The sequence below is a fragment of the Homo sapiens genome, chromosome 18, assembly GCF_000001405.40.
Source record: "Homo sapiens chromosome 18, GRCh38.p14 Primary Assembly".
In the NCBI taxonomy this organism is placed as follows: domain Eukaryota; kingdom Metazoa; phylum Chordata; class Mammalia; order Primates; family Hominidae; genus Homo; species Homo sapiens.
The window spans coordinates 57,893,125-57,902,252 of record NC_000018.10 but is presented as its reverse complement, the minus strand read 5'-3'; the positions used below and the strand labels follow the sequence as shown (position 1 = coordinate 57,902,252).

Sequence of the window (9,128 nt, the reverse complement as noted above, 5' to 3'; positions counted from 1 at the left end):
AACTGTAATTACTTTTGCACCAACCTAATATCTCAGTGGTCTCCTGCTTTGTAGGAGTTTGTAGACCTAGGAGATCACATCTTCTAGGTCTGTCTGGACTGTTTGTATGAAGCACGTGTTCTCACAGAAGTGTTAGCTTAACCCGGTCATGGTCGCAGCTTACCTAGACGTCTCCACAGCCAACCACCCGTCCCTGGTTGACTCATTGGATTTATAAAGCCTCTCACGTCATTCTCGCATGTCTTATGCAATCAATATCCGACATCAAGCACTGAGATTTACCAGCCACACCTAATTCTGGGAAAGGCCAAATGAGAAAGGCATGTCTCTCACACATGACGCCTCTCTTTATGTTCTGTACCTGGTGTGTTAGTTTCCTGTGCCTGCCCTAACAAAGCACCACAAACCAGGTGAGTTAAAACAACAAAAATTTATTCCCTTTCAATTCCAGAAGGCAGCAGTCTGAAATCATTATCACTGGGCCACAATCAAGGGTTGGCAGGGCCATGCTGTCTCTGGAGGTTCCAGAGAGAATCTGTTCTTGCCTCCTTTGGTTTCTAGGAGCTGCAAGCATTCCTTGACTTGTGGACACATCACTCTAATCTCTGCCTCCATCTTCATATCACCCTCTCCTCTGTGTGTGTGTGTGTGTGTGTGTGTGTGTGTGTGTGTGTGTAAAATCTACCTCGGTCTTCTCTTTCAGGGATAAATGTGATTGCATTGAGGGCCTGGCTAATCCAGATAATCTCCCTCATCTCAGTATAATTAATGTAATCTCATCTGCAAAGATATTTTTTCCAAATGATGTAATATTTACAGGTTTCAGAGATTAGGACCTGATATCTTTGAAAGCCATTATTCAGTCCACTACACCTGGTGAAGAGATGTCATTTGGTTATAACGAGCTTTCCATCAGTCACTGAAACTTGTCCACTGCGTGGTCCCTGGTCACACCTTTCCCTTGTGGGTTTGGCTTCTGGGTTGCTAAATGTCTAGTGCCACCTCTAACAACAATACTCAACTTGATGTTTTCTAAAATTCTAGGTGTCTGCCTGAGATAGGAATCTAGGCCAAAATATTTCAGATACTTGTTGTCAGAGGGCAGTATGGATGGGGGAATAGGATGATATGTTCCAGAACTTGGCCTGAGAAGCAATGCTGTGAGTCTACAGGGGAGTCACAGAGACTCATTCATCAAATTACTGCTCTGTGCAGATGTGTCATTTTATGGTAAGGGAGTCCTTGAGTCCTAGATGTCCTCCAGGGACTCTGTGTAGTGGAGGGACAACTTTCTAGGCCACAAGACAACTTTTTTTTTTTGAGACGGAGTCTTGCTCTGTCACCCAGGCTGGAGTACAGTGGCACGATCTTGGCTCACTGTAACCTCTGTTTCCCAGGTTCCAGCGATTCTCCTTCCTCAGCCTCCTGAGTAGCCTGGGATTACAGGCGTGTGCCACCACACCCGGCTAATTTTTGTATTTTTAGTAGAGATGCGGTTTCACCGTGTTGGCCAGGCTGGTCTCGAACTCCTGACCTCAGGTGATCCACTCACCTTGGCCTCCTAAAGTGCTAGGATTATAGGCGAAAGCCAACATGCCCGGCTTGACAACTTTTTTTTTTTTTTTTTTTTTTTTTTTTTAGAGACAGGGTCTCACTCTGTTGCCCAGGATGGCGTGCAGTGGTGCAATCAAAGCTCACTGTGACCTCAAACTCCCAGGCTTAAGCAATCCTCCTGCCTCAGATTCCTGAGTTGCTGAGACTACAGGTGCATGCCACCATGCCCAGCTAATTTTTGAAATGTGTTTTAGAGATGGGGTCTCCTATGTTGCTCAGGCAGAGGACAACTCTTTTTTAAAAAATTTTTATTTTATTTTAATTTCTGGGGTCCACGGGCAAGCTTGTTATATAGGCAAACGTGTGCCATGGTGGTTTGCTGCACCTATCAACCCATTACCTAGGTATTAAGTCCAGCGTGCATCAGCCATTTTTCCTAATGTTCTCCCACCCACTGAGAGGCCCCAGTGTGCGTTGTTTCCGTCCCCGTGTCCATGTGTTCTCACTGTTCAGCTCCTACTTATAAGTGAGAATATGCAGTGTTTGGTTTTCTGTTCCTGCGTTAGTTTGCTGAGGATAATGGCTTCCAGCTCCATCCATGTCCCTGCAAAGGACATGATCTTTTTCCTTTTCATGGCCACATAGTATTCCATGGTGTATATGTACCACATTTTCTTTATCCAGTCTGTCACTGATGGGCATTTGGGTTGATTCCATGTCTTTGCTATTGTGAATAGTGCTGTAATGAACACATGTGTGCATGTATCTTTGTAATAGAATGATTTATATTTCTTTTGGTATATACCCAGTAATGGGATTGCTGGGTCAAATTGTATTTTTCCGGTTCTAGGTCTTTGAGGAATCACCACACTGTCTTCCACAATGGTTGAACTAATTTACTTTCCCACCAACGGTGTAAAAAGGTGAGAAGAACTCTTAAAGGGGTCCAACTGGGCTGAACAATCTGTAGCCAGATCACCTAAACCTGCCCCTTGAATGGTGGTAGGAAAGAGGGAAGAAGTGAACAAGGGGCAGCACAGGGGAACATGAGCTCATGCCCCATTTTTGGATGCCGTTGGAAAAGAAAGCCAAATAGCAAGAGGGAGGGGATGTAAAATCTTGATAAAAGATCTCCAGCTGCATGGTGCTTTTCATCAACAAATGGATCTGAGGTGCAATTAGTAAATGTGAAAGGATCTCTCAGGACAGCCACAAAAGGGGTTGCTAAGTTTGGAAGCTTCTCTGAGTACCTCGCACATGGTAAGTCCCATTAAATATTTGTTAATGCGTTGGTGTTTCCACTTGGGAAAGAAGGGTTTCAGTCATGCATGCACAGCATTTTTTTAGCTTTGGGTGGATGGTGGATTCTTGTTATTCTGTCCTGGCGTTTGCTGTACTAAGAACCCTTTAATTCGAATTTGGGTAGCTTCATATCGTATTTGGATTAACACTGAACCAACACTGCCAACACTATGGATAAAGTGTTTTCTTTTGGGTTTTAAGAGCATCAGCTCTATCCATTTGTGGTGTTTAATCTATTCTGAATCAATTATATAATTCAAATAAATGACTCAATGGTTTTCTTATTTACTAATCTTTTTACGTGTTTATTTTCTCAACTATTCTAAGCCATTCTGCATTATCTTAGTATCCACTTTTTGACTCTCTCTCTCTCTCTCACACACACACACACACACGAGTGTGCTGTCTTTCGTAATTTGGTACCAGCTGCAAAATGACTAATAGGCAATTATGGTTTCCTCTTGAGAGTCTATGGAATATCAAACAGTTGGAGTCCTCTGACTGGGCCCAAGTGTTTGGTGATGATTTTAACCACATTGGAGTTCAAGAAAGCATCAACCTACTATAATCCTTCTGGAATGGAACCAAACCAGGGACTCTTCTGGCTGTGACAGCGAGTGTGGAGAGTCAAAGTCTAGGCCTGGCTCTGCCACTAATTTCCTTCCCTGTCCAGGGGCCTGCTGCAAGCTGTTCCCCACTGGCTGTGTCTGTGCTGCCAGCTTGCAGCAGGTCCCTGGGCAGAGAAGGAGAGAGGAGAGTCCCTGGAGCTCTGTGCTTATCCTCCTCCCAGGCTATTCTCACCCTAGCTTTAATGCCATTTCTTGGGGATGCCTTTCCTGACTCTGGGTCTAGTACAGATTCCCCTGCTACCTTCCTCCAGGCCCTGATCACCCATTACCCTATTCATGTATTCAACTACCTACTATATGCCAGGCAGTGAGCTAGATGACAGGCATGCGGTGTGAAAAAGACTGCCTGCCCTTATGGAGCTTATGATAGGTGGCAGGGAGGGGCTTGAGATAGACAGCAACCCTGTACACAGTAAAGGTAGAATTCAGCCATGGGAAGTCACCAAAGGAGAAGAAAGGGATATGTTGAGAAAGTTCACCAAGGGCCATCACGGGGACTGAGCTCAGGCCCAGGTCCCAGCTAGAGAGGTGAGAGCCCTGTGATCGTGCCTGCCCAGGTGCCTGCTTCAGGACTCTGGCTCAGAACCTTTCATTCAACACAATGTACTGACACCTACTGAGTGCCCAGCTGTGATATGCCTCTTTCTTCAAACCCTGCTCTTGGCCAAACCTAGACTGTTTAGCCTGTGGTGGGCACAAGCCCCGACCTGTAGAGGGTGGTCTGGCTTTGTCACAGAATTGGGCATTTCTGAGAGTTTGAGAGATTCCTTAGCAGGGATCAGTATAAAGTACAACATGGTTAATTCCTGAGTGCAGGCTGTGATGAGTGACAAAGGAATCAACTATGAAGCAGGAACAGGAACCCAAGAAAAAGGAAGAGTCTGCATAAATAGTGATGGGTTTCTAGCTTTTCTTTCAATGAATATTAAAACAATGGTGACTGGTGGCCATGTCTATGCTATAGACTGTCCCCTTGACCACAGCTAATAAAGCCAGAGTAAACACCCGACTACACTGGGCAAGAGTACATGGTCATCAGGCTACAGTTGATGGGACCAGAGAGAGCACCCATCCCAAGGGAGACCAATCAAAATGTTTCTCCAGGTAGCACCCAAGTTGGAGCTAAGGAAAGAATCCAATAGCCAGGTCCCAGCCATATAGAGGACGCCACTGTGCAGCACGACACAGTAGGAAAGAAAGAAGTTGCTATGAAGAAAGAAGCACATATAGAATTCAGACAGAGATAGATAGATAGATAGATAGATAGATAGATAGATAGATAGACAGACAGATAGATATAGATAGATAGATATAGACAGACAGATAGATAGATAGATAGATAGATAGATAGATAGATAGATAGATAGATAGATAGATAGAGAGAGAGAGATTTGTGGTGCTATTTTAATCCCTGATTCTAGGCCAGACACGGTGGCTCACGCCTGTAATTCCAGCACTTTGGGAGGCTGAGGCAGGCAGATCACTTGAAGTCAGGAGTTTGAGACCAGCCTGAACAACATGATGAAACCCCTTCTCTACTAAAGATACAAAAATTAGCTGGGCATGATGGCAGATGCCTGTAATCTCAGCTACTCAGAGGGCTGAGGCAGGAGAATCACTTGAGCCCAGGAGGCAGAGGTTGCAGTGAGCTGAGATCACGCCAATGCACTCCAGCCTGGGTGGCAGATCAAGACTCTGTCTCAAAATAAAATAAAATAAAATAAAATAAATATCTCTGCTTCTAGTTGTTTCTGTGGCCCAGAAGGACCCCCTACACTTACCATGACTTTGTTGTTAACTCCTTAGGGGAAAAAGAAATCCTTCCATTCTCTAAACTAGCTTGAGTTGATTTATATCACAGCATCTCCAAGAGCATAGATCTTCTGCTACACGACAGGGCCAGGGCCAGGACACCACTTTCAGCTCCAGGCAATTGCACTGAGGACTCAGTGACACAAGTAAGTACAGCTTCTCCCACATCGGCAATTATTATTTCAGAGAAATTATTTGAAGACATTATTTTGAAGAAACTAACATCACACAGATAGCCAAAGTTGACCTTAATTATGTTATTATAAGATTAACTCAACATAATTTAGCAAATATTTCTTAAGTGTCTAGAACATAATCCTGTTCTGGGAACCAGGGAGAAAGCAATGACTGAAAAGTGCAAAAATCTCTATTCCTCATAGATATGGCTTGATCCGTGTTGCTGCCCAAATTTCATGTCAAATTGCTATCCCCAGTGTTGGAGGTGGGGCCTGGTGGGAGGTGATTGGATCATGAGGGCAGATTCCCCCTTGGTGCTGTTCTTGCCATAGTGAGTTCTCATGAGATCTGGTCGTTTGAAAGTGTGTATCACCTCCCCCTTCTCTATCTCTTTCTCTTGCTCCAGCCGTGTGAAGTGCCTGCTTCCCCTTCGCCTTCTGCCATGATTGGAAGCTTCCTGAGGCCTCTACAGAAGCAGAAGCCGCTATGCTTCCTGTACAGCTTGCAGAACTATGAGCCAATTAAACCTCTTTTCTTTATTAATTACCCAGTCTCAGGTATTTCTTTAGAGCAGTGTGAGAATGGATTAATACACCCATTCTAAGCCAACTGGTTTGCTAGGGCTGCTGTAACTAAGTACCACAGATTGGGTGGCTTAAGCAACAGAAATTGCTTGTCTCGGCAGTTGTAGAAGTTAGAAGTCTGAGGTCAAAGTGTCCATAGCATTGGTTCCTTCTTAGGGCTATGAGGGAAGGATCCATTCCAGGCCTCTCTCCTTGACTTACAGATGGGCACTGTCTCCTTTTATCTTCATATCGTCTTCCCTCTGTGTCTGTGTCCACATTTTCTCCTCTAAGAACACCAGTCATATTGGATAAAAGCCCACCCTAATGACCTCATTTGAATTTAATTACCTCTTAAAGATCTGTGTTCCCTCAATGACCAATGTCCCCTTAAAAAACTGTGTCCCCTCAAAAATCCATATGCACCTCAGAATGTGACCACATCTGAAGACACAGTTCAGCCTACAACAACCTTCATTGTTTTAAAACAGTGAGATTTGGGCACTGCCTGTTACCACAGAATAACCCAGACTACCCTGACTGATACAAAGAAACAATCACAGGTAGATGCAAAAAGACAGTTTCTTCGAGTTGCATTTATGACCCTATTAAAAATGACACCAGGGACTTTATTTTAAAGAAAGCTATGTGTGTCACAGCCATGAATAAATTAGCCCGCAGCAGTATTCTTAGAGTGGAACAACATTATTTTTTTCAGTTTAGGAGGCTGAGGCCAGAGAAAATGAATGTTTCTTCCTGAGCAAACAGGAAGACGCTGGCCTGGGATGACTCCCAGTCAGGGGCGTTGCCTGGTGCCTTCCTGCCTCCCTGGGATCCAACATGGCGCCCATCACCCAGGCCAGCTTCGTCCCCTCAGGCTTCTCCGTGGGTGTCAGACTTGTCAGGGACCACCAGAGCTGTCAGGCGTCCTTGTCTGCTATGAACTCGGGATGCCTCTTGCTCACTGAGGCATTATCCTCCAACAAGTGACTGGTTAATTCCTTAATCACCTGTTTGAGTCGTCCCTCTGCATACCAGGCCTCACTTCCTATTTCCTCGTGGTTCTGAGATGGTCGGAAAGGTAAGAGGTGGTTTACTTCTTCCCCTGGGCAGGTCCTTCAGACTGTGAGGAGGAAAATACCCTCTGTGTTAGTTTCTGTGGCTGCTGTAACAAATTATCACAAACCAATTTGGTGACTTAAAAGTTTATTCTCCCTGGAGGCCAGAAGTTCCACATCAAGGTGTCAGCAAGGCCCTGCATCCTCTGGGAGTGCTAGGGGAGAATCCTTCCTGGCCTCTCCCAGCTTCTGGTGGCGGCTCCAGGCAGTCCTTGGCTTTCCTCCCTGCATCGCCCTAAACTCTGTCTCCACCTTCACTTGGCTTCTCCTCTCCGTCTCAAACCTCCCTCTGCTTTTCTCTTAAAAAGACACTTGTTAAGGTCAGGCGGGCAGATCACGTTGATAATCCCAGCACTTTGGGAGACCAAGGCGGGAGGATCCCTTGAGCACAGGAGTTCAAGACCAGCCCGGGCAACACGGCAAGACCCCACCTCTACTAAAAATACAAAAATTAGCCATGGCGTGGTGGTGTGGGCCTATAGTCCCAGCTACCCAGGAGGCTGAAGTAGAGGATCACCTGAGCCCAGGAGGTCGAGGCTGGAGTGAGCTGTGATCGTGCCACTGCCCTTCAGCCTGGACAACAGAGTAAGAACTTGTCTCAAAAAAAAAAAAAAAAAAAAAAGACACTTGTTGTTGGATTTATGCTCACTTGGATGATCCAGGATGGTCTCATTTCAGGATCCTTAATTTACTTACATCTACAAAGATCCTTTTTCCAAGTAAGGTCCCATCCACAGCTTCCAGGGATTAGGATGTGGGTATATATTTTGGGGTGGGTGCCACCATTCAACTCACTACAATCTCTGTGTGTAAAATTTTGCCCTTCTCTGCAAGGGCAAAATAACCTCAACAAACTAAATTGGTGAAACCAGGAAAATGAAACCTAACAAGGATAATAATACCAATAATAAAATAGCTACCATTCTCTTGGTGTGTAGCTTCATGAAAACTTCTCAAGACAAGTGTGGGATGTAAATAAAGTCTGTGCTTGGCCTGTTCATCCCTTTCTTCACAGGTTTATCTCCTTTTACACTGTGTATGGGAAAACTCACTGCTTTTCCTTCTTTTTTTTTTTTTGAGATGGAGTCTTGCTCTGTCACCTAGGCTGGAGTGCAGTGGCATGATCTCAGCTCAATGCAACCTCTGCCTCCTGAGTTCAAGCAATTCTCTGCCTCCACCTCCCAAGTAGCTGGGATTACAGGTGCCCATCACGACGCCTGGCCAATTTTTGTTTTAGTAGAGACAGAGTTTCACCATCTTGGCCAGGCTGGTCTTGAACTCCTGACCTCGTGATCCACCCGCCTCAGCCTCCCAAGGTGCTGGGATTACAGGCGTGAGCCATGCACCCAGCCACTGCTTTTCCTTCTACACTCACTCATAACACTCTCTGTTTGGCACCAGATGTATATGGGTTTTTCCCACACCAGGCAATTTTCCAGTTCTCTGCAGACACCAACTGGGTGTCCTACAATTCAATTCTGACACTATCTGCCTGAAATCAGTGCAGACCCCACAGGTTAGGAGCTCAGTCCCACAAAACAGGCCCCTCTTCAGACGCCAATGGCAAGTCCAAGTTGTCACCTGTGCTTCTGACCCCAACCACCTCCTTGGGTTTGATAATTTTCTAGATTGTCTTACAGACTTCAGGGAAACACTTTGTTACTTGATTACCAGTTTATTACAAAAGTATACAACTCAACTCAGGAAAAGCCAGATAGAAGAGACACCTAGAGCAAGGTATAGGGGAGAAGGGGCATGCAGCTTCCATGCCTTCTGGGGTGCACCAATCTCCCAGCACCTCCACCTGTTCAGCAACCTGGAGGCTCTCTGAACTGTGTTGTTCAGGGATTTTTAGGGAGGCTTTCTCACATAGACATGACCAATTATGTACTCAACTCCATCTCCAGCCCCTTGCTCCTTCCCAGAAAATGGGGGCATGAGGCTGAAAGTTCTATGCTTCTAATCATGGTATC

General features: G+C 45.4%; 1 long non-coding RNA gene across 1 annotated transcript, besides 2 other annotated features; it reads left to right on the top strand.

Moving 5' to 3' along the window:
* Window positions 229–429: a silencer, noted in NCBI's record as "peak3167 fragment used in MPRA reporter construct". NCBI's record gives its function as "represses an SCP1 promoter by STARR-seq MPRAs in K562 erythroleukemia cells {active_cell/tissue: K562}" and the evidence as "EXISTENCE:reporter gene assay evidence [ECO:0000049][PMID:32103011]".
* On the top strand, window positions 310–6,020 carry LOC105372140 (uncharacterized). Its single transcript, XR_935521.2, has 4 exons — window positions 310–410; window positions 2,405–2,814; window positions 5,292–5,443; window positions 5,881–6,020. It is a non-coding gene; the product is annotated as an uncharacterized LOC105372140 (long non-coding RNA).
* Window positions 7,273–7,774: an enhancer, noted in NCBI's record as "H3K27ac hESC enhancer chr18:55561711-55562212 (GRCh37/hg19 assembly coordinates)". NCBI's record gives its function as "activates a minimal SCP1, AML or CMV promoter by ChIP-STARR-seq in naive H9 embryonic stem cells {active_cell/tissue: H9 hESC(naive)}" and the evidence as "EXISTENCE:reporter gene assay evidence [ECO:0000049][PMID:30033119]".